General features: G+C 49.4%; 1 protein-coding gene and 1 long non-coding RNA gene across 4 annotated transcripts in view; one reads left to right on the plus strand and one right to left on the minus strand.

Annotated features, from left to right (window-relative positions):
* The window catches only part of IGSF21 (immunoglobin superfamily member 21), a 270,686-nt gene that overhangs the window by 144,735 nt on the left and 102,032 nt on the right, over window positions 1-23,919 (plus strand). The gene's annotated exons all lie outside the window — the stretch shown is intronic.
* LOC124903864 (uncharacterized) lies at window positions 10,035-10,938 on the minus strand. Its single transcript, XR_007065517.1, has 2 exons — window positions 10,869-10,938; window positions 10,035-10,526 (listed from the first exon to the last, which is right to left on the minus strand). It is a non-coding gene; the product is annotated as an uncharacterized LOC124903864 (long non-coding RNA).

Here is a 23,919-nt window from a genome sequence, read left to right on the forward strand (position 1 = left end):
GGTCTATGTGCCTGTCTATGAAGTCAAGTGATTTCCGGATTTCTTCTCCCCCAGCAAGTCCAAGAGTACAAACAGCTGGGGAAGCCTGGGGTAGAGTTTCTCTCCTGGTCACATCAGATAAGATCTGAGTGGAAGAGGAGGAAGGGAATCAGAGAGGACTTGGTCTTGCCCACCCAAATCTGTCTGCTGCTCTTTTTCCTTCTTGTGCCTGAGAAACAATATACGGGGGCCGGGGGTACAAAGATCATGGGTTCCAGCCCACCTCTGCCATTTCCTCACTGTTATATCTTGAGTTAGCTACTTACCCTCTCTGAACTTTAGACTTCCCTTTTAGAAAAGAAAGCTAATGATGCCAGCCTCGCCAGGTTGTTATGAGGGCTACATGAGATAGTGTAGGTAACAAACCTTTAGCTCAGAGCTTGATACCTAGAAGATCCTCAACCCTGGAAGTAATTAATTGGAAGAAACGCTGAGCCTCCTCTCCTCACCTTCCCCCTCACACCCAGCACCCTGGGTGCTGTCCCTGTGTCACCTTGTAAAAGCCCTTCTGGAATTGGGACAAGCTTAGGAACTCACTCTACCATAATAAATGAATGTGTCCCTCTTTCCCCAAGCAGGCTGCGTTTCCCAGCATCTTCATCCGATGTGCAGGGTCTACCCAGCCCCGTGTTTCTCTGCTGTAAGATACACTATGCATCCTTGGCACCTTGCCCAGAGGGCCAGGGGGGGCCTCAGCAAACCCAAACTTTCCTGAGTCATCTGATGGGCTACACTGTTTCCTGGCACCCTAATGTCCTTAAATGAACTTCTGTTGTTTGCCTTGAATCAAATTCACTGGGAGCAGGGGAGCCAATGCACACCCTTGAGGACTGGGCCAGGTCCCAGGATGGGCCACAGCCCATCAGCCTTGCAGAAGCTGCATGGGCCCCTTCGTTGCTCCTTGGTCCTGCCCAGAGAACCCCCAGGCTGGATCCTACCAGTCCCTGGGATCCAGCATGGCTTTCAGAAGTAGCTCAATAAAGAGAATGTTAAAACCTTTTAATGCTTGGCAGGGAATCTGTCCTTTGCCAAAACACCAATTAAAGGCCCAGGCCAGTTCAACATGACTTTATTACTAGCATTTTATCTGGAAGAGAAGGGATGGGGGGAGGTAGCATTTTATCTGGAAGAGGAGGCAATGAAGCCTCTGGGAAACACCCTCTCTGCTTCCTCTGACAGGAACAACCCCGCACAGTCACTGGGCGCCTGCTTCCTAGAAGGCTCCAGAGAGAAGCCAAAAGAGAGAAATGAGATAATGGAGTGAGGTTACTCAAAGAAGCCTTTCTGAAACAGCAGATTTTAAGCTGGGCTTTGAAAGGTGGATCAAGTCAGGGGAAAGTGGAAAGAAAGTGGGGGCTTCTCAGGCAGGAGATTCTGCAGGAGCAAAGGTGAGGCTGAGGGGCTAATCCTCAGTGCTGATTGGACACTTTCATTGTCTCAGGAACTGCGCTAAGCATTTTAGACGTGATCTCTAATCTTTCAAACCACCCTGGGACACAGGCTCTATGATTATCACCATTTTGTAGATGTAGAAGCTGAGGTTTAGGTGCTTCTACCCAGTTCATGCTTGTAGTAAGTTCTGGAGCCTGAACTAGGCCCAAGCAGATGATCCCAGTGCTTCTGCTCTTAACCCCAGGCTGAGAAGTGAGAGATGAGTTGGGGAGGGCTCAGGCAGATGTGAAGTGGAGAGAGTTTGTCATTCCTTGAAGTCCAGAGGCCCCCATTTCCCTCTTTTTGAGCCATTCACTGGATCTAGACCTCTATCTGAATACAGCGAATGGCTCAAAACCCTAACCCTAACCCTAACCCTAACCCTAACCTTATCTAGCTCCATCCACACATTCACTGGATCTAGGTATCTTTAACCCTAACCCTAGAGTTAGATTCAAAAACATAATCCTAACCCTAATCCTAACCTTATTTAGTTCTACCCACCCATTCACTGGATCTTGACCTCCTGCCTGAACTTGTCCCTGGGCCCTGGTCCCTCTTGTCAGCTGTCTTCATCCTTTCTAGTCTAGTAGGTGCCATTGAAAGCCATTGCTCCCAAAGGGGTATCTCTCTGTCAGGTGGCCTTCTCAGGTTGTGGCTGATGGACTTGAAATTCCTCATCAACCACTAAATAGGCTGTTGCCTGTGCCACTCCTGGACATAGGTTGTCCAAGCCAAGTGTCTGGTGGCTCTGTTCCACTTCTGGAATCTTCCAGAAACTTTGTCAATGCTTATAGCCTATAAGAGCATGGTGATTCTTCAGTTGTTTGCCCATTCTTCTATCCATCCATCCATTCATCCATCCATCCATCCATCCATCCATCCATCCCTCCATTCATCCAGCACTTATTTTGAGCCAGTGACGTTGTCCTTCTTACACTGGGCCCTCAGCACTGTGGGCTGGGACTATCTGGAGAATGAAGGGGTTAGTTCACACAGCCTATCTGCCTTCAGGCTTTGTCAAGGGATAGGTGCTTTGAAGCCACAAGGTGAAATACACTGACCCCAGCGAAAGTGACAAATTTGGCCCTGCCCAGATCTGGTCTTCCAGTCTCCAGCCCCTTCCTCTGTAGAGATGTGCATGAAGAAGTGTCCCAGCACCTGGATTACAGAGTGAGAAACTGAGGCTTGGAGGAGGGGGCTAAGCCTGCCTCAAGAGCATGGCAATCTAAAGCCAAACTTCACTCTGCACTCCCCTGGGTACCTGCTCATTACTCACCCACCTTGATGCCCCTGCTGGGCTTGTGGGGGCTTTCTCCCATCCAAGCAGGATGGTTTTTGTCAAGCCCAATATTGCCCATGGTCTTGTGCAGAGAGATGTGCCCTCTGCCTGTTGCAATGCTGTGATTGGGACAGACATGGACACATCCTCACAGGACACACAGATGACAAAATAAAGGCTCAAATCCCTTCTCCTGATTCTGCCATCATGCCCCTAACTTCCTCATTCCCTCACTTCTCATGGCCCTCCCTTTCTTCCACACTCCTCACTCTCATTTCTTTGGCTCTGTTCATCTCTGTTCTAAATCATTCCCTCTTTCTTTCCCTGAAACTCCCTCTTGATTATACCCTGTGTTCCTCTCTTCCTCTCTGCATCTTACACCTGCTCACACACATTGAGAGTCATCCTCAACCCCCCTTCCTACTGTTTCCCCATACCCAGGTCATCTTGCTCCAAGTCTTGTCAATTCCACTTCCTAAATCTCTCTTCAATGTGCCTGCTCCTCCCCTCCCTCCTGAGGTCCCAAAGTGCTGTTCTAGTCCACCATCATCTTAGTCTGAATGTCTGTTACCTCCCAACTTGCCCAGAGGTGCAGGCTTGTGCAGCCCCAGTCCATTCTCCACACTGTAGCTAGAGGGAACTTTCAAGATGCACATCTGATGGTGTCATTTCACTGCATAAACCCCTGCAGCAGCTTGCCATTGGCCTCAGGATGGAGTGCAGCTCTGTTCCATGTCCTACAAAGCATTACAGAATCTGGCCTCTGCCCACCCTGCACCCCATCTTTCATCAGCCCCAACCCAGGCCCTCCCACCTGATGGGCTAGCCATGCAATGGGGCTTCTTTCTATTCATCAAATTAGCCATGCCCTCCCTGACCTCTGGGTCTTTGCCTGCTGTATATGCCCTCCTGTATGACTAGGGTAATTCCTACCCCCCTTTAGGCTGGAAATCTTTCCTCAACTGCCAAGTCTGGGTGAGATGCTTCTGCACTGAGACGCAACTGCACTGCAATGGTTCCCTGTGATTCCTAAATTACAGCATTTATTAAAGTGAATTCTAATTGCCTGTTTAATTGTTTGCTTTCACTGCTGGAGCCGCAAGGGCTTAGGGTACAATAGGCTTCCAGTTCCCCAAGGAAAGCGTACAGCTGTCTCCCTAACGTTTGTTTTCAGGTCACCCAGGGAGCCGGCTCCCAGGGCTAGCCCTGAGAGCTGTCCGTGGTGCTGATAGTTCCCGTGTTTCAGCAAGGGGCAGCCTCACTCAGAAACCACCCTGGCGGTGCCCTGTGCGCTTCTCCTGGATGTTTCCCAAGGGGGAAGGAAAGGCCTTGGTCTGACATTCTGAATCCACGATCTGCCCTTCCCAGTGGATCGGGGCCTGCTGGTTTGCGGAGGTTCACTGGGAAGGCTTTGAGCTGCTGCCGTTACCTCCTGGTACCATATTTGCCTCTCAGCATCTGGCTATATTTCTGAGACAGGGGAGGAGACATCCCAGCCGCAAATAATTTAATAAAGACTTTTCCATCCGCTAGCCTAATCCCCTCTTCCTCCATCTTTTAGTACCAGGGACATGGAGACCAGGTCCCCTTTCCTAAAACCCTGGCCCAGTTGCCGGCAAGCGGACACTCTCTAGCCAACTTCTTTACTCCACATCATTCCAGGAACTGGCTGACTCTCTCCATAGCTCACCCATCTCAGTTGCCTCCTCTTCTCCTCTCAAACCCAGCCCTCTTGGTAATATTGGATTAGCCCACTTTCTTGAAAGCTGATTTTCTATTTGCATAATCCTTCCCTCTCAGAGTTGCTAGGGCCTCCATGATAAGCTGATGGGCCAGGGCAGTCAAGCAAATTATACTCTTTATTCTGAACAGCATTGAAAGTGAGGGAAATTATTTTTTAAAGAAAACACACGCTTTATTTTCATCTCCACATTCCTTTTGACCAGGAGCATCATGCCAGTGTTGACTGCACTAGCCTATGTCTCCTGGAATACATAGATCTTTATTTTACCAAACTACAGCAGGCAGAATGGAAGTCAGACCTATGGAAGGTCTTCTTAATATTAATAGTGGAGAGAATGCATATGAAAGCCCCTTGTAATGGCAATACATTACTCTTTATATATATAAATCATATTTCCACCTGTCATCTAATTTTTTTCCCCATCCAACACTATAGACAACTGTATAGGTACTTTCCCCATGTGACAGTGGAGGCTACGGAGGCTCAGAGAGACCGTATGTCAAGTCATGGCTGGAGTGGAAACTAGAGCTGCTGATTAGAGTTTCTAGGATTCCTGATGCACTGAGCTCAATTCTGGCCAACAAACACTTAGCAGTACCCACTGTGTGGCAAAGGCACCGAGCTACAGCCACAGAAAGGCTTGGGTACAGTGAATTTCTACTGCATGCCTACTGTGCACCAGGTTCAGACATTACAACCTGGAGGATTTAGCCCAGAGCACAGACATCTACAAAAAGGGGGCTGGAAGAATAGTCAAGAGGAAGGCATCCTTTTCCTTGAGGCTCTTCTCTTTGTCCAGTACTGGACAAAGGGTAGAATGACATGGGAAACTTCTCCCTCCCCCTCATGAACCCTTCACCTGAAGTCTTCTGAGAGCCCCGTGGGCAAGGGGCCCCCTGCTGCAGTCTCCCACTCAAAAGTGAGTGATGCTCTTCATTGAGCTGAGGCAGGGCCGCTGGCTGCTGAGTTATATTTATACAACTTGTAAATCATCCTGTCAGGTCCTCCTGAGAAACCCAGGCACCAATGTGCAGGAGGTAGCAGCCTCTGTTGGCTTCTTCAATTCCTTTGGGACAGTTGCGCTCCTTGACACTCCCCAAGTTTTTTGGCTGCTTAAGGTGACCCACCAAGGATACACAAGCAAAGACAGAAGGGATGGGAGAGGGAAAGGGGTTCCCTTCTTTGCACTGGGCTTTGTTGCTCTCTCCAAGATCTCTTCTAGGGGGTGTTTGGGGATTAAAGGGACTTCTGTCTACCACCCTGCCTACTTCTGTTCTCTTCTCTGTCTAGACTGATTAAGGAGCAGAATGTCCCAGAGGCAAGAGAAGGGACTCAGTAACCACCAATGGTAAGGTGGACCCTGTAGCCTTTGGGGCTCCAGCAACCTTGACCTTGACAGTTGGTGCTTTTAGCAAAGCCCAGTAGGATGGTAGAAGGAGGACTGGATTGGGAGTCAGGAAACCTGGGTTTTAGTCTTGATTTTTGTCATAAGTACACTGTTTGAATTTGGGCATGTCTGAGCCTCAGTTTCCTTGTGTGTGAAATGAAGCCCCTGTGTAAGAATGTTTAAGGAGAGAATCCTTCCTTAGGGTGGAGGCATGATACAGTGAAGAGCTCAGACCTGCATTCAAAGCTTGGTCCTTGCGTTTTCCAGCTGTGTAACCTTGGGCAGTTTGCTTCACCTCATTGAGACTCAGTTTCTTCATCAATAAAATGGGAAGATACTTCCTTCCATGTGATCTTGTGAGAATGGAATGCACAGCAAAGCTCAGTTTCTGATACAAGGCTTAGCACCTAGTAAGTGTGCAAAAGTGCTCATCTCTCCCCTTCCGCCAAATCCAGTTTCCAGACATGCTTTCTGCAACTGATTCTGAAAGAGTAACCAGGCTTCAGTGCTCATCTGAGTTTGATGGTGGACAGAACCAGGCAAGGAGCCAGGTCCAGCCCTTTTTTCCCTCTCTCTCCCTTTGGCCTCTGCTGGGGCCCTTTTGAAAGCAGGCAAAACACAAATACATATTGAAAGAAATTAAATGGGTTTGGCCACTGGGCCTTTAGGTGAATAAATAAAACAGTAAAAGGAGAAAGATTACTCTTAGGTTGGGCACCTGCCACATCCCCTCGGGGCTGAGCCACATGACTGAGGCCAGTTTATGAGAGAAATCTCAGTGGAACTTTGGGGCCAGGCCAGCTTGGGTTTGCATCTTGATTCTCCCTTTGGGCATCTTTCTGATGCTGAATGGGGCCACTCTAAGTCTCAATTTCTTCATCTGTAAAATGAGGAGATCCATACCCATCTCACAATGGTCAGGACTAGAAAGAAAGCCACCATGAACTCATTGTGGACAGTAGGTGCTCAGTACAGGCTAGTATTCCACCCTGTCCCAGAATCATAGAACAAATCAAGGTCATTCATTTTAACTGCAGAGGATAAAGAAGAGGTCTGAAAAAGGCCACTGGGTTTGGCCTCCATAAAGTTCCTGTTGGAAGGAAGTCCCCCTACAAATGCCTTTCCTCCATTCTTTGCCTCCCCAGAACCTCTTGCATTCTAGTCTTCACTCTTTTCTCTTCATGGGGACTTTCCTCCTGACATTTTATATAAAGAAGAGAGAGAGAAAAGTGTGAGGGATGAGGCTCAAGGAGGAAGGGTGTGTGAGTGTGTGTGTACACACATAGGATGAGGAATGGTACACACGTGTATAGGCTGCAGAGAAGGAGCCAGTGGGTGGAGAGAACTTGGAGGTGCACTGATGTGAAAGTCAATGAAGAGATGAGGCCACAGCATGTGTAGGCAATGGCGGGCTTGGGAACCCAAGTGAAGGGCTCACCATGGAAAGAAGCATGAGTTCTTGGGCAGTAGGGGCACAACGGTGTTCTGGAGTTGTGTGTGTGGTGACAGACAAACCTGGGTTAAAACTCCAGCTCTGTAACTTGCTAGATGTGTGGCATTTGTCATGTCCCTTCATCTCTCCAAGCCTCAGCTTTCTCTCTTCTTGAATGGGTATAAAAACATCCCCCTCATCGTTTGGAGAGGCAGTAGATTTAAGTCAAGACTAGCACAGTGCTTGGCACTTGGAATATTCTTAACAAATGTTGGCTCCCTTTCCTCCTCATGGCTGGAGAAGCACGCAGAGGATGAGCGAAGATGTGGAGAGGGGCAAACAGGAGGGACACTGAGGATGGTCCGAGGAGAGTGAAAGCCCAATGTCTGTCGAGGGAAGGGGCAGGTGGCTGGTCCAGGGGCCAAGGCCAGCCAAGAAGCAAGAGGCCCAGAAATGGTGGCAGGAGAGCTTTGTCTTATCTTTGTGCTGCAGGGTGGGGGAGCCCCAAAATTGGAGCTTAGCCCGGGAGGGTTCTTGGCTTCACCAGGAAATAATTCAGAGGTAAGCCGATGGTGTTAGACAGCGACTTCTATTGAAGCGGCAGTGCGCAGCAGCCGCTGAGGGAATGCTCCTTGCAGAGCAGGGCTACCCCACAGGTAGTGCACCCATAGTCATAGTGCAGAGGCCGTTTTGCACTCCTATTTATACCCACTTTCAATTACATGCAAATTAAGGTGTGAATTATGTGGCCATTTCTAGAAAAAGGGTGGTGACTTCCGGGTCATCAGGTCATTGCCATGGAAGGGGGCAGTAACTTCTGAGTGTTGGCATGGCAATGGTAAACTGACATGGTGCACTGGTGGGCATGTCTTATGGAAAGTTCCTTCATGTCTTATGGAAAGTTCCTTCCATCCAGTCCCTGTTTTAGCTATTCCTCAGTTTGGTCCAGCGTCCGAGCCCTGCCTCTGGAGTCCAGTCCCACCTCCTACCTCATTTGGAACTTCTGCACAGTTGCCATAGGAATCCATCCTGGTCTTGGCTAGTGGGGCCTTTTCCACGTGGAGGTGTTGGGGGCCACCTACCTGAGGGGAGGTATGCAGAGTGAGGGAGCAGCAGATGGAGCCTAGGTGAAGAGATGGGGGGACATCGCTTTGCCTCGAGACCAGAAGTGACTGGAGACATTCTAATCAGTCCTATCTCTTGTATTTTGATTCAAATGGAGCCTAGGACTGCTGGAGCACCCAGCTGGGGACCCCAGGCCAACCCAGCTCTCTGTTCCTCCTCCCACTTCAGCCAGGCCAAGCATCTCTGGCTGCACCTGCTTCAGGAAGATGCTTGCAGCAACTAAATGAGAGGACGCATGGGAAGCCCTTAGCACCGTGGCTGGCCTATAAAATGTTTTCCAGAAGTGTCATGCAAGAAGGGAGAAGAGGAGACAGAGAAGAAAAGCCAGTCAGGGGTCTTAGGTAGGAGGTGGGACTTGACTTCAGAGGCAGGGTTCGGATGCTGGACCAAACTGAGGACTAGCTAAAACAGGGACTGGATGGAAGGAACTTTCCATAAGACATGCCCACCAGTGCACCATGTCAGTTTACCATTGCCATGCCAACACTCAGAAGTCACTGCCCCCTTCCGTGGCAATGACCTGATGACCTGGAAGTCACCACCCTTTTTCTAGAAATGGCCACATAATTCACACCTTAATTTGCATGTAATTAAAAGTGGGTATAAATAGGAGTGCACAACTGCCTCTGAGCTATGACTCTCGGTGCACTGCCTGTGGGGTAGCCCTGCCTGTGAGGTCTTAGGTCTTGGCCCTCTGGGCCAGAACAGAAGGACCTGGTACCTCTCAGAACTCACTCTCACCATCAGCGTCCAGAATGTCTCCCTGCCTTAACCTTGAAGATGCCAGAGGAAGTGGAGGGACTTGGGTCTGTCCTAGGCAGGGTTTCCCCTGAAGCCCCCCGACCCCTCAGACAAGGATTTGAGTACAAATCATGTATTTTGGAGGTGACGTCGGGAAGTATTGTCAGGGGAGTGTGGATGTGAACCAGCAAAGGGAAGAAAGCCAGTGAAGTTGTAGCACTGGGCAGGTGGGGCTCAGCTTCACCAGTGAGCTCTGGGAAGTGGAGTAGAATGGAGTTGCTAAATCTCCAATGTGTGTAAGAATCACCTGAAGAGGCTTCTGAAACCTTCCAGAGCCCCACCTCCAGAGAGTCTGATTCAGCAGGTCTGGGGCGGGACTCAAGAATTTGCATACAGCAAACTCCCAGGTGCTACTGATGCTGCCAAATCGGGACCGTACTTTGAATAGCAGTGTAGACTACACCTCTGGGTTAATCCCCAGCCCACAAAGGGATGGGGAAGCTGGAGTATTTATCCACCCACTCCGCATCTGTCCTTGTTGAGGGCTGCTTCTGGGGGCATGAACTCTGGAGGTTCTGGCGACCGGATAAAGAACCTGAGGCAGAGAGTGCAGTGGATGGCAGCAAGTGGACACGTGAGGACGGATGGGATGAACACTGTGGCATCTGCTGCAAGCTCAGAGGGTCCGGCTTTGAATCCTGGCCCTGTCTTCTATAATTTGTGGGATTTAGGTAAAGTCTATAATCTCCCCAAGCCTCAGTTTCCTCATTGAAAAAATGGGGATAATAATTCCAACATCGGTGTCATTATGGAGATGTAATGAGATTAATCTGGTGCGAGTGTCTGGCACATAGTAGATGCACCGTAAATGTTTATTGCATCTGTAGCAGCGCTGTTCCAGAAGCGGGATGAGAGAGGTCTGGTTCCTGGAGAGAGCTGGAGGCTGCAGGCTGGCACAAGCCCTGCATGAATCCATGTCTGCTTGGATCCTCGTTGCCTTAATAAGTAAATAATCAATTGAGAGAGATTCTTCCTGGGTGCTAAGAACCAAGTCCTTTCCATCTGCAGCCATCCAGAGGCAAGCTTTACTAGAGACCTGGCCTCAAGGGGCTGCCTGCGACCTGGCATGTTTTCCAAGGGGCTGGTGAGGCAAGTCTGCATTTCCAGGGGTGGTTGGCAACTGCAACTGCACACTGAATGCCGTGGGAATGGAATGCATTGGCCGCTTCCCCTTCCCCACCCCGGGGTAGCTCCCAGCCCATTCTTTTCCCTCCCTCCCTTGAGTATGTGGGGGATGGCATAAAAGGAAGCATTCTGGACATCCGCAGGATGGGGCAATTGGCACCTGCAAGACAAAATCAAGAATTTCAGGTGGTGGGAGGTCGTGCAGAAAAGAGGAGAGGTCAATGGTGGAAAATACGGAGGGCCACTTGGGGAAATAAAAGAACAACAACTCAGAGGGTTAACCATATCACACTGAGTTTTTCTAGTTTATAATAGCACTGGGGATTTGGATGTAGGATGCTACTCAGAGCCAGTTTCGGGAAGGACTCTTACTGCCTGGGAGCCATTTGGCTTTCTCAACCTACTTGCATCACTGCTTGTGAAACAACAATGAGGTGAGCCTGAGCAAAGGGAAGAAAGAGTGTGGGGGTCCTCCAGCCCCACCCCCACCTCTACTAGGCACCTGCTCAGCACCATTGCAGTGTAACGGGTCCAGTTTTGAACCAGGCGAATGCACATCTGAGTTTCAGGTTCATTTTTGCCTCTCACTCGCTGTAGGATCTTGGGACTCCGGTTTTTATTTGCGATGTGAATCTATTCAGTTATCTCTGGGGTCCTTTTTGCTGACAGCTTCTGGATCTTAATTTTGGGGAGGTCTCTCAGAACCAAACACTTCTCCAGCCAAGCAGGTTTAGGGAGAACCCAGAGCAACCTTCTCTGGCAGCATCACCCAGAGCGGTTGCGAAAAGTGCGGATTCCCAGTCCCACTGGGGCCCTGCAGAGTCAGACACTCTTCCTGTAAAACCCAGGAATTTTCTTCTTCCACTGCATGCTCATCCCCCCTGACTCTCACACGTATTGCATTTTGAGAAGTCCTGTCTAAAAAACAAGAAAATTTTCTCGTCTTCTTTCTCTTCTGTAGTCAGTTAAACAAAGCCACCCAGCTGGGCCAGGTCACCTGATGCTGGTGCATTTAATATCTAAGTGGAAGCAACAACTCATCAAAAGGAACAGTTTACAATTGCCTGGGATAAAACTATTTTCTTTTCAATCTTCCCTGGAAAGTGACAGATAATAACCAGCCTGGAGACTGTAATATTATTAGGGCCAAAAATAAAATAAAACCCCTTAACTGCTTCCTCTTACAGAGAGAAGCCAAATAGTTCTTCAACTCATTTAAATAAAGTGATTGTTTTCCTTGCTCATTATCTTAAATTCCCAGGAGTCTGCAGTCCCCTCCTTCTGTATGAGGGGATGGCCCTATTTCCCCCTCTCTCATCATTTCTTATTTCACAAGAATCCCGTTAAGACCGGCAGCAAGAAGCCATGCATTTATGAACCACTTTTAGCATGCTTGCTTTCTGCCCGGCCCCCAACCCTTAAATTAAATGAGATAATATATCTGAGGCATATAGAACAACTCCTGGCATAGAGTAAGTGCCCAACTCATGTTTATTGTCATTATTAATGACATTTGAATACCATGATTCTGGTCTCAACAAGATAGTCTGTGCCTTCAGACAAGTCATTGCACACTGAGCCTTAGTTTTTCCAGCAGTGAAATGGGGGAGAGAACACATGGACGGAGGGAGCCCAGAGCAGGGATTATTATGCTAGAATCTCATTACAGGAGGGCATGAGGACAGATAGCCCCTAGGCAAAGGGGTTAGAGTTCTTAAGGCCTTGTTATTTCCTTAACATACCTACAGAACATACAGGAGCTATGTCTGCCCCCAGACCGGTTGGTGCAAATGTAGCTGAAGGAATCATTGAATTTGACCTAAACCTCTGTTCTTCTAGGAACTTTGTTCCAGATGATTCTCTGAGGACAATTTACCTCCTCTATGCTCTGTCTCCTCTTATCAGTTGTGGTGACTTAGATGGCTCCCGTTACCTTGACAACCCTACCCTTCCCCTTCTCTACCAAATGAAGAAGACAGGGCCTGCTTTGCAGGGCCATGGTGAATATTCAAGCCAGCTTAGGCTCAGGGCCACCACACCGTGCCATCCCACAAATAGCAGCTATTACAGTGGTCGTGAGCATGATGTCACAATCCCGGCTCTTTTCACAAGCCTGCAACCCCTTCCCTGCAAACCAGAAATCCAAAAAGCTCTGATAAATGAAAGATTTATTTTATTTTGTTCTATTTTTTGTAATTCATTGGATGAGAAAACTGAACCTGACCTGAACTGACTTGAAATGACTTGGTGGCAAAACCCAGCCTGGGTCGATGGGAGGATATTTATGGTATTTGTTTTTCTCACTTAGTATCACCATCCAAATGCGTCACTGCAGAAATATTAATGTTGAGTGATTACACAGTGATTCTTTGGACCCCAGTTGTGTTGTGTGATATATTGAACAAGCCCCATATCACCTTTCAGAAGTAGGGTTCAGCCTGAGCTCTGGGACACATCTGGCTCCAAGGGTTCGGGATGGTGGTTGTGGAACTAGTGTTAATGTCAGGCAAAAATTCTCACCTCTGGGTGTCCTCTGGGTGTTCCTCCTGCAAGCTTCCATTCTGGGAAAATTGTTGTTCATGCAGCGGCCTCCTCACTTGCCCCTGTACATAAATCCAGCTCAAACCCACCCACTTGGGTACACCTGCATCCTTGGGGAGCCCCTTTCTTGGAGTGCTTAGTCTCCATCCTATCACGCTGCCCACCTGCCCCTACACCAGTCCGGTTTCCAGGCCAACTCCTGTGCCCATCAGGCCACTGGAAGGGACAGCGTCCTCCCTGCCTGACCTCCACATGCTTGCCTTCCCCCATGTGGCACTGCTGGCTGAATTCTCTGCTCTTCACTCCGATTTTTGGCACCAGAGCCACACAACCGGGATCTCAAAACAGAAAGAATGCATTTCCTAGGCAAGCCCGCTCCTTCCTTAAGCTCGCAGGCTGAGGAGCGGGCAAGGTGCAGCCAATGGGCTCTGTCCCAGCGCCTGGGCCTTCCACTGGCATTTTCTCCAGCAGGTTTTCCTCCTGAGCCATAGAGATTAAGAGCTTGGAGGTGCCCACTGAGGGAGAGGCTTTTAGGGATTTAATGCAGCCTTGATGAAGCCCGGAGACAGGGGCAAGGGGTTCTTTGCTATCAGAACGTGCAGATGAGGTGGGAATGCCCCAGAAATTTACCCTGCAGGCTCTGGAATAGCAATATTATTATGAATAATATTGATTGATCACTTTCCATGTGTCAGGCTCTGCATTGAGTACCTTACATGAACTATCTCATTTAATCTTCACAAGACCCTAGGAGGTGGCTACCATTATTATTCTCATTTTATAGAAAAGGAGAGAGGGTCAGAGAGGCTAGGTAACTTGTTCCAGGCCACACAGCCAGTATATGGTAGAGCCAGGAGCTGATCACAGGCAGTTGGATTCAAGAGCCCAAATTCTTGACCATATGTGTATCTGTGATCTATTACCATGAACATGCTGTGTAACACTTGGACACAGAGCCTCAGTGGTGTACAACAATAGGCACTTTTTTCTCACACATTCAGGTGGATGAGCTAGGTAGCTGTGCACACTCATATGTCTGAGAGCATCTGACCTTTGACTGACCCAGGCTGTCCTCACTGGGACAACAGGAGTGACCAACTCTGTCCCATGTGTCTCCCATCCTCCAGTGGGCTGGCCCAGCATGTACTCATGGCAGTGGCCCAAGAACTTATGTGGAAACTTGCTAGGCCTCCAGAGGCCATGCACTGTCACTCATGCATTGTCACCTCCCTGTTGGCCAGAGCATATCACATGGCCAGCCCAGGTCCAAGGAGCAGAGAAATAGATGCTGCCTTTTTAGTGAGAAACGCTGAGTGTGGACCCAAGAAGTCGTGAAAATGGGAACCCTTTTGCAATTCACTACGTGACACAGGGGCCTTCACAGCCACAGTGTGCACCTATGTCCTGCAGGGAGACAAGAGGGACCACCTGAGAGTCTCATGACCCTGGATTCCACCTCTGTGAGCTCCCAATCAAACTGAAAGGGAGACCCAGCAAATGGGGTCAATGAAAGCTCTCTGCTTTCAGGAACTTCCAGGACTAATAAGGGAGACAATATTTGACCTCCAGGAGAGGCCAGCATGATGGAGGAGACTCAGTCTCTGCCCTTGGAGAGCCCATGGCCCCTGGCTGTGGAGAGCTGTATGTATGTAACTCAGGCTCAGAGAGCTCCCAGTAGGACAGGGTAAGCATTGACCTCACTCTAATGGGAATGGGTTGTCTAATAGGTGAGGCAGGACACTGATATAAGCAGAAAATAAATGTCATTGTACACTGAGGACCAGCTGATTTGGGGAGATACGGGAAGAACTTATTCAGGAGAGTCAATTTGTGTGGGCGTTTTGGAGGTGGTGAGGTTCAGCTACAGTTAAGGAAGCAGAAGCAGCTCTCAGCTGGACAAGGATTAGAAGGTGAGCATCAGGGTGCTCAGGAAAACAGGATGTGGGGAGCTCATTTTCCAGTTCCTTGGCCTTTGATGGAGACTCTTCTCTACCCTGCCCTGGCCTCCCACTTGGGCCCACCCTCTGGTAACATCCTAGATTTCCTCTGCCTCCCTCACTCCACAGCAGCCACTATGGAAAAAGACATTTCTAGGCTCAGAGGGAGAGTGGAAAGAGGTTTGGAGAAAGGCCTCAGGCCACTTTGAGAAGCTTGGAAAAAGGGGAGCATGGAGGAAGCGGGAGAAGAGGGTAGCTCTGCGGCTGGACCTGGGACTTTCCCAGACACTGAGCTCTCAGATCACGGGCCCTAGGTGGAGGCTGCTTTCCTTGGACCATGCCTGGGTCCACCGTCAGAGTTGGAGGAGCTCATTCTGCAGCCTGTGTCTTCTAGAACAGGCCTCTAGGAGAGAAGGAACTGCAGCCTGCAGGCCAACTCTGGGCCACCACCTCTTTCATAAATAAGATTCTGTTTGAACACAGCCATGCTCATTCACTCATGTATTGTCTGCAATAACAGACTGAGTAGTTGTGACCCAGAACATTTGGCCCATAAAGCTTAAAATAGTTACTGTCTAGCTCTTTACAGAAAATGTTTGCCAATCCTTGCTCTATCTAGAACGAGAACACCACTAGGACAGGGATCTTCGTCTGTTTTATTTGCTGCTGTGTCCCCAGTGCCCAGAACTGTGCCTGGCACATAACAGGTGCTTAATCAATGCATGCAGAATGCAGGAATGAACGACTTGGCCTCTCTACAAATCATGTTTTCAACCACACGGAGCAATATTACCCAACCCCTTTGTTTTAATCTACTTCGACTGATCATTTTACAGATGGGAAAACAGAACTTTGGGAAGTCCAAGTGAGCAGCATTAGTCCTCCAGCCAGTTAGTAGCAGAGCCAGCTCTGGGACACAGGACTACTGACCCACAGGGCAGGGCTCTTTCTGCTGGACATGCTGAAATGCTCCTCAACAGCTTCTTACCACAAGGTAGCCTGCACCATCAGCTAGGAGATTTTCTCCTTTGGCATTTGGCAAAAGATTCCCAGCTGCTGTAAGTGCTTTTGGGCTGTGGCTGGGGGTGTCAGGGACTCCTGGGTCCCAAGAAGTGAAGCTGAAGCCGAGATGGGTCCCAAAGACAGGTCACCAAGCTTACATGTGATATGTCTGGAAAGACACCCAACCCCAACTCAGGTGCGCGGTGAAACCTGCAGCTGTGGTTTGCCTCATCTCTCCTCCGGCCCTAAGGTGGTCACCAATGTGCCTTGGGAGTGGGGGAAGTTATTTGTCAGAACTTGCAAAACAAAAGGCAATTTATTCCTCTGCAGATCCAGAAACAGATAGAAGGGCGGGAGGAATCATGCATGTAGTTGGTCTCCCTCCTGAAGGTCTCCAGGGTTGGAGAAAGGGCTGAGAGCTGTCCCACAGGCTTATCCGGATGGAAGGCAGTCTTATGTCCCACATGTGACACCAAAAGCAGGAATCCCTCATCCCTGTCCTTGGCAGATTCTACAAGTTGAAACACATATAGGACAGGCCCACCTCACTCTTGATGATAGCTCCCAGGTATGTTGTATAGTAAATCCTGTGCCTGTAACAATTCAGGGCAATCTCTTTCCTGAGCTGGTCGATTGTTCTTGATGTCCTCAGCTCCTCGTCCAAACCTCTTAATCCAGGAGCAAATGAGCTGTAAACAACCGCATCACATGGGGCGCAGGAGGAGCTGCTATTGAAGGAGGAAGTGAGGCTGCAGCAGCTTTGCAAACAGAGGGTCACTGGGGATTGGGGTGGCTGCAGACTCTGATGGGATCCCATAGCATCTGCAGGTGAGGGTGGCTGCTGATGCCGATGAGACTTGGGGTGATCCACCTGGGGCAGGTCTTGGACAAGTGTGATGCCCTGAGGGGCCATTTGGGCATTTGCCTGAGACTTTAGGGTGACTGTCCTTTCTCAGTGGATGCAGAAGGATCCAGACAGCCTTGATCCTGTGTCATTGGCATGGATGCAAGTGTTTGGGGAGGACTTGTTGGAGGAGGAGGAGGAGGATCAGCATCTTTGAATAAATGATACGTTTACAAGGAAAAGCTTACTGTGGGCTCCCCTCAGCCAAGAAGTGAGACTGAACAGAAGGTCTCTTCTTGGCCCAGAAGTTCTCTAAAGTCCAGAGTCTGCACCTCCTGCTGCAGAGCTGTGTCTGGGAGCTCCATAAGAGTCAGAGCTGTGTCTCCACCATCAGTCTGATGATTCCTCAAGACCAGTAAGTATACATGTGCACCGGACCAGCAGCTCCTAGTGGGTGGGTGCTAGATACCCCCAGTCTGAAGCGCATCTCCCTCATCCCTCCAGCAGCAAGGTGAGCCCTTTCTTGCTCTCCAATGGTGATCTCGGACCTTTCTTTCCCCGCAGGGCCCCTTGAGAAAGAGCAGAGTCTTCCAGGAAGGCAAGGGCAGCCACTGAGTTAGGAACTGGAATTTACTGTGTGACCTTAGGCAAGTCCTTTTCCCTCTCTGGGCCTCAGTGTCCCTCAAACAAAAACCCAGAGACTTTTCCAGTATGTTAGAAGCATCCTTCCGGTTCTCTCAGCTCCTGCCATGTGCCTTCTGGAGGTAACCTTCTAAGGACTCTGCACCAACCACCGCCCTTCACCCTCATGCTATCTCCCTTTCTCAAGGACCCCGGGCCCCAAGGCAGAGCCAGGTGGCATCTTTGCACTTACACTGGCTGACTCTACACTAGCTGTTTTGCTCCCCATTCTGCCTTCACAGCATTTCTTGTGGTTGAACTACCAGTCTTGCAGGGAAGCAAAATGAAGAGACCCCAACCCTGCCTGCCATCCACTCACTCTCCAAAGTGCAGGGAAACAGCTCCTTTGAAGACCTCAATTTAAACAAGGGAGAGAACAGTTCTGAGATTTTCTTCCCACTCTCTTGGCTCCATCCCTTATAATGGTTTCGTTCCCAAGCCCCAGATATTCTGGGGAGGGTGAATGGGCAGAGGATGGGGGTGGGCCTGGATGACTCATGCCCTGCAAGGTTCTGCCAACACTCGGCATCTGGTCCTGCTTCATGCCTCTCCAGGGCAGCCTCGGGCAAGAGGGAGCCCTTGGTGTCAGAATGCAGGGAGAGGGCACTGAGCACCAAGCTGGCACCTGGGTGGGAGGTGTCCAACACATGCAGCTTCCTTCCCTGTGCAGAGCATCTGCAGCAGGACTCTTCTTGGATGCTCAGAGCCCACCATTAACTAGAGACCAGATTTCTGACCAAGGCCATGGAGGCGGCCATGTTGGCTGCACTGAAAACAGCCGGGCTCCGTGACAATGGGCTTCCTGCCCTTCGTGCAGACCCCACCAGTGGAGGGGTGTTCTTCAGCCTCCTTCACATCAGTGTCCATCAGAGATTCAAAAAAAAAAAGGAAACTACCCAAACTGGTGCCATCAAGGCTGTCACTCACTCTCCTCCCTACGAGCCAGCCGCATGTGCGATTTGACACACTGGTAGCATTTCTGCAAATTACACATCATTCTCCCCACTGAAGCCACACCTTTGACTGCTGTAATATTTACCTGACCGTGCAAGTAATTTTCAGGCTTCACTTAGTGGGCCACTGAGGCATGGAAGAAAGCAGGGATGGCGTTGACTTTGGACAGCAGGCCCAAGAGAAGCTGAAATATTATTAGAAGGTGTCCTAATAGCTCAGACAAGCACAGAGAGACAGCTGCTCGCAGAGCTATGGGCAGAGGATTGGTTTTCATGGTTCTCTATGAAGCATTGTCTCACTGCTGCTTACATGACTCTGAGGATGGAGAGCTCACCACCCACCGTAGACATACCATTCCATCTCTGAGTGCCTCTGACAGTGACAAAGTACTGTATTGACACTGATGATATCTGTCATCCCATAACTTCAACCCATTAATGCTGCCTCTGCTTCATGGGTGATGTAGAATTAAGGTGATCAGCTCATTTTGACTTGCCCAGATGTTTCCCAGTTTTAACACAGAAAGCCCCACATCCCAGGCCTCCACTTTAATGAGTAACTCAGTGTGGTTTGTCTAAACCTATCCAGATTTTAAGTCTGAAAGTCCTGCATCCTGGTAACCCTCTCAATCACAAGCAAACCTGGCCTAGTTATCACCCTATGCAGAAAAATCTATGTCAGCAAATCTGAAAATCTTTCCTCCTCCATCTGATAGCCTACCCAAGGTACAAGTGCGGTTGCTGTGATTCCTCTTGCCCTCCCTCCCCTAGGCACCCCAGGGAGGCAGGAAAGATCAACCGGGAGCATCAGTGGCTGGTCCTGTCTCTAGAAGGAGCAACATGGTGGATGGGCCAGACTCAGTCTTGGGCTCAAACCCACCTGTGCCACTTCTTAGCTGGGTGGCCTCAGCCAAAGCCCCAGCCCCTCAGGGCTGTGGAAGGTGTCAAGGAGATTTTGGGTAGGAAGCCCCAAGACCATGGGTGAGTAGCTGGCATGGAGGATGGCACCTTGAGAGGCTAGGGATGGAGTGTGGCTCGTGATGGACCAACAGGGTGTCATTGAGAGGCAGGGCAGCATGGCAATGGTCATAGCCTGAGTTCCAAGTCCACTGTATTAGTCCATTTTCATGCTGCCGATAAAGACATACCCAAGACTGGGTAATTTATAAAGAAAAAGAGGTTTAATGGACTCACAGTTTCACGTGGCCAGGGAAGCCTCATAATCATGGCCTCACAATCATGGCAGAAGGTGAAAGGCAAGTCTTCCATGGCAGCAGACAAGAGAGAAATGAGAACCAAGTGAAAGGGTTTTCCCCTTATAAAACCATCATCTCTCGTGAGACTTATTCACTAACACTAGAACAGTATAGGGGAAACCGCCCCCATGATTCAATTACCTCTCACCAGGTCCCTCCCACAACACGTGAGAAGTATGAGAGCTACAATTCAAGATGAGATTGGGGGTGGGGTGGGGGGGACACAGCGAAGCCATATCACCCTCTCTGCCACTTCCTGGCTACATGATCTTGGGCCAGTCGCTTCACCCCTCCAGGCTTCAGTTTCCTCATCTGCGTGGAATAAGAGCCCTGCTTCCTAAGGTAGTTGGGAGGATCCAGTGAGCAAGTGCACACAGGGCACTTAGCACCTGGCCTTAGATGAGTTCTGAGGAAATGGTCGCACTTCCACTGTTGTCATCGCTGCTCTCCACATCATTATGTTCATGCTGAAGATCCATCACCCATGTGACCGCGACAGCCCCTTCTTCCATTTTCCAGCTTTGGAATGAGTGGTTTGGAAGAAGCTGGATCTCTTAATAGGTTGAGTGTGTCCCCTCGGCTCTTGCCAGGGACCTGGCTGCCCTGGGGCAGTGGAGAGGGGGCCTCTCAAGCCTCTCACAGTCTTGCCCACTGGACAAAAGAGGCATTTTAATTCAAAGATGCACTTAACTTTAAAGATCCCTCCCCCAGAATTTTCCCCATTTGGCCTTTGACATGCATTCAAACCCCTCAGATGACAGAGATATGTGGGAGGAGACAATAAAACCACAAAAGGAATGGACAAGAGGCCCAGCCTCTGTCCACTTTATGCTCAGGTGGGAGCTGGTGTCTTTCCCCGTTACTGGCCAGGTCTCCTTGCCCCCACTGGGCCCTCCAATCCCTTCTCCACTAGCAGCCAGACGGATCTTTTTTTTTTTTTTTTTTTTTTTTTAGATGGAGTCCCCCTCTGTTGCCCAGGCTGGAGTGCAGTGGCATGCTCTCACCTCACTGAAACCTCCACCTCCTAGGTTCAAGCAGTTCTCATGCCTCAGACAGTAGCTGGGATTACAGGCACATGTCACCATGCCTGGCTAATTTTTGTATTTTTAGTAGAGACGGGGTTTCACCATATTGGCCAGGCTGGTCTTGAACTCCTGACCTCAAGTGATCCACCCACCTCGGCCTCCCAAAGTACTGGGATTACAGGCATGAGCCACCATTCCTTTCCTTTCCTTTCCTTTCCTTTCCTTTCCTTTCCTTTCCTTTCCTTTCCTTTCCTTTCCTTTCCTTTCCTTTCCTTTCTTTTCCTTTCCTTTCCTTTCTTTCTTTCTCACTTTCTTTCTTTCTCTCTCTTTCTTTCTTTCTTTCTTTCTTTCTTTCTTTCTTTCTTTCTTTCTTTCTTTCTTTCGTCTTTCTTTACTTTTTTTTTTTAACCACTCTGCCCATAAAGTCCTTGCTCTCTGGGGACAACAAAACAAAACACAACCAGATCTATAATGAAAAGCAAATGGGTTTTTTTGTTGTTGCTGTAATAACACCAAGGGTTTGTTCAAAGCCAGGTAAAGATTTTTTTTTTTAATATACTGGGTGATTTTTTATTGAACAGTTTCCTTATAATAGAAACCAACACTAGACTCTTGAACTTCCTCTCTCCCAAAGGAAATAAACCAGGCCTCCTGCAGACGAGGTGGGAGGGAAAACATGAGCACAGCTCTCACTGGGACCTGAGATAGGAGCTGCCCGTGCTACCTCTCAGGCTCTATTAGGACCCCAGTGCCTAAGTCTAACTCCTGGGTGTGGCTGAAATGCACCTGGCCTGGGAGTTTGAATCCCAGCTTCGCCACTAGTCTGCTGCTCTATGTGTTGGGGGAAATCACTCGGCCTCTCTGGTAAAGACACCTACCAAGTCAAAGATGAGTCAGGGGCTCACATGGTCCAGTTAGAAGAAAAGAATTGTAAGTGTGTGGCAGAGCATTTGGGTATTGGCTAACTTGTTTCTTTACCCCATTATTATACTAGGACTGGAGATACACGGTGTTGGGCAAAATGGTTCCAGCCCCTACCCTTCTGCAATTTATAGCCAGGTACTATCAGGTATCTATGGCAAAGGCCTATGAAGGCTATAACCACACCTTCTTGCTCAACACTCCAGACCTTGTGCCTTATCACAAAGCTAGCCTCTTAGCCTGGGCTCAAGAAGTAAGTATGTACAGGTTCTGGTCAGGTTGGCCAGAAGAGGAGAAACTGAACTCTTCCTGGAGAGATTAGGAAAAGCTATTGACCTGAGTCGCAAAGAATGAGCCAGAATCAGACAGGTAGATGAGGAAAAGAGGGGCTTATAAGCTAGACCAGGGGTTGCCTAACTCTGGCCCATTGGCCAAATCTGGCCATCTGTTTTTGTAAATAAAGTTTTATTGGAATACAGTCATGTTCATTCATTTCTGGATTGTCCAGGGCTGTTTTGTGCTATAAGAGCAGAGTTGATTAATTGTGACAGACGCTGTGTAGCCTGCAAATCCTAAAATATTCTTACAGAGAAAGTTTGCTGTCCACTGATCTAAACAAAGGAGTCAGGCCAAGGAAAGGCCCAGAAATCTCTTTCTTGCTTAGAACTAGAATTGGCCACCTAATGACTGGGCATGGTGGCTCGCACTTGTAATCCCAGCACTTTGGTAGGCCAAGGTGGGCGGATCACTTGAGGTCAGGAGTTCAAGACCTGCCTGGCCAACACGGTGAAACCCCATCTCTACTAAAAATATGAAAATTAGCTGGATGTGGTGGCATGCACCTGGAATCCCAGCTACTAGGGAAGGCTGAGGCAAGAGAATCGCTTGAGCCTGGGAGACAGAGGTTGTAGTAAGCCGAAATCGCGCCACTGCACTCCAGCCTGGGTGATAGAGTAAGACTCTGAAAAAACAAAAACAAACAAACAAAAAAGAAGTGGCTACCTAAATTGTGTGGCCCAATGCAGAATGAAAACAGGGGCCTCTTCTTAAAAACCGATTACAAATTTCAAATTTCAGAAGCAGAGTCTTAAACCAACTGCAGAGCCCTTGTAGGCACAGGTCTTTGTGCAGCTCTTGCAGGCTCTGGGCAGAGTTAGAAGTTGCGCTCATGCTCTTCCCTGGGAAACCACACTGGGAGTAGATCTGGGAGGCAGTCTTGACCCAGGGATCTAAGCTGGGGCTTGGCGTCTCCAATCCCCAAGCCAAACCTCCAGAAAGACCAGCCTCGGATCTACTCCCCAAGCCAAGGGGATGGAGAACTGACCTTCCCGTCTCAGCAATCCCGTCCCATTCTTGGAGCCTGGCTGTGATGAGAAGCAGAGGTGGGCCCAGCTGCCTCTCCCACCGGGAGTGTCTTGGTGATCAGACATGCAGCAGCCATAAGAAGACACATGGCAGTTTAATGGGACCCTCTCTCTGACGATGCTGTTCTCCCCATGCTCACCTGGAACTATCTGATGGGGGAGCAGTGGGGAAAGGAACCTCACCTCACCCAACTATGGAACAGCAAAATGAGAACAAGGGCTCATGGAAACCTTCCATGCTAGGTGTCCGCTCAACCCCAACCCCTTAGATTCCTGGACTAAAGTCTGTGTCATCTGCCCTTCCATTGCACAGACACCTGCAGGAGACAGGAAGCCAGATGGAAATGCGGCCAAAGTCTTTATTCCCCAGCTCCTCCCAGTGGGGCCCCTGGGTCCCTCCACCCAAGCTTTTGGGTGGAATTCTTCTTCAGCTGCTGCTCTCTTGGATTCAGGGAGACCTCCCACTCCTTTGCCCCCTTCCCTTTTCTCCTAAGAGGACTACAGTCCCCACCGGTCTCTGCCCCAGTGTTGCCTCATGCCTTATTGGAATTTCTCCGCCGTGCCCATATCTTTGTAAATCACCTTGGAATTAAGGTCTTCTTATTTATGATCTTTTCAAGGAATATCTGTTTCCTGCTGTGCCCTGCCTGGCACAACCATCTTCCCCCAACCCAAATGGCTTCAGTCAAATAGAGCCTTGTAACAGATGGAAGTTGCATCCACACTTCCTCTTGCAAAGGTGGGTGCTGAACAGGGCTCCTCCTTGGCAAGAAGTTGACCACTGTTCTGGCTGAGCAATTCTAATGCTTCCCCTGGTGTCTGCTGGGATCACTGGGTAGTATTCAGTGGGCGGCTGATCTGGTCTGCAGGGGTCAAGGCAGCTTTACCCACCTGCAGGCATGGCTAGAAGGCTGGCTCAGCAAGGTCCCCCTCCTTCTCCAGGTGGCCTCTCTAGCACCACAATGGGATGTCTTAAGCAGCAGCTCAGGATGTACTTGTTCCCAGAGCCCTGAATGAAAGCTTCCAGCC

The sequence above is a fragment of the Homo sapiens genome, chromosome 1 (genome assembly GCF_000001405.40).
Source record: "Homo sapiens chromosome 1, GRCh38.p14 Primary Assembly".
NCBI lineage: Eukaryota > Metazoa > Chordata > Mammalia > Primates > Hominidae > Homo > Homo sapiens.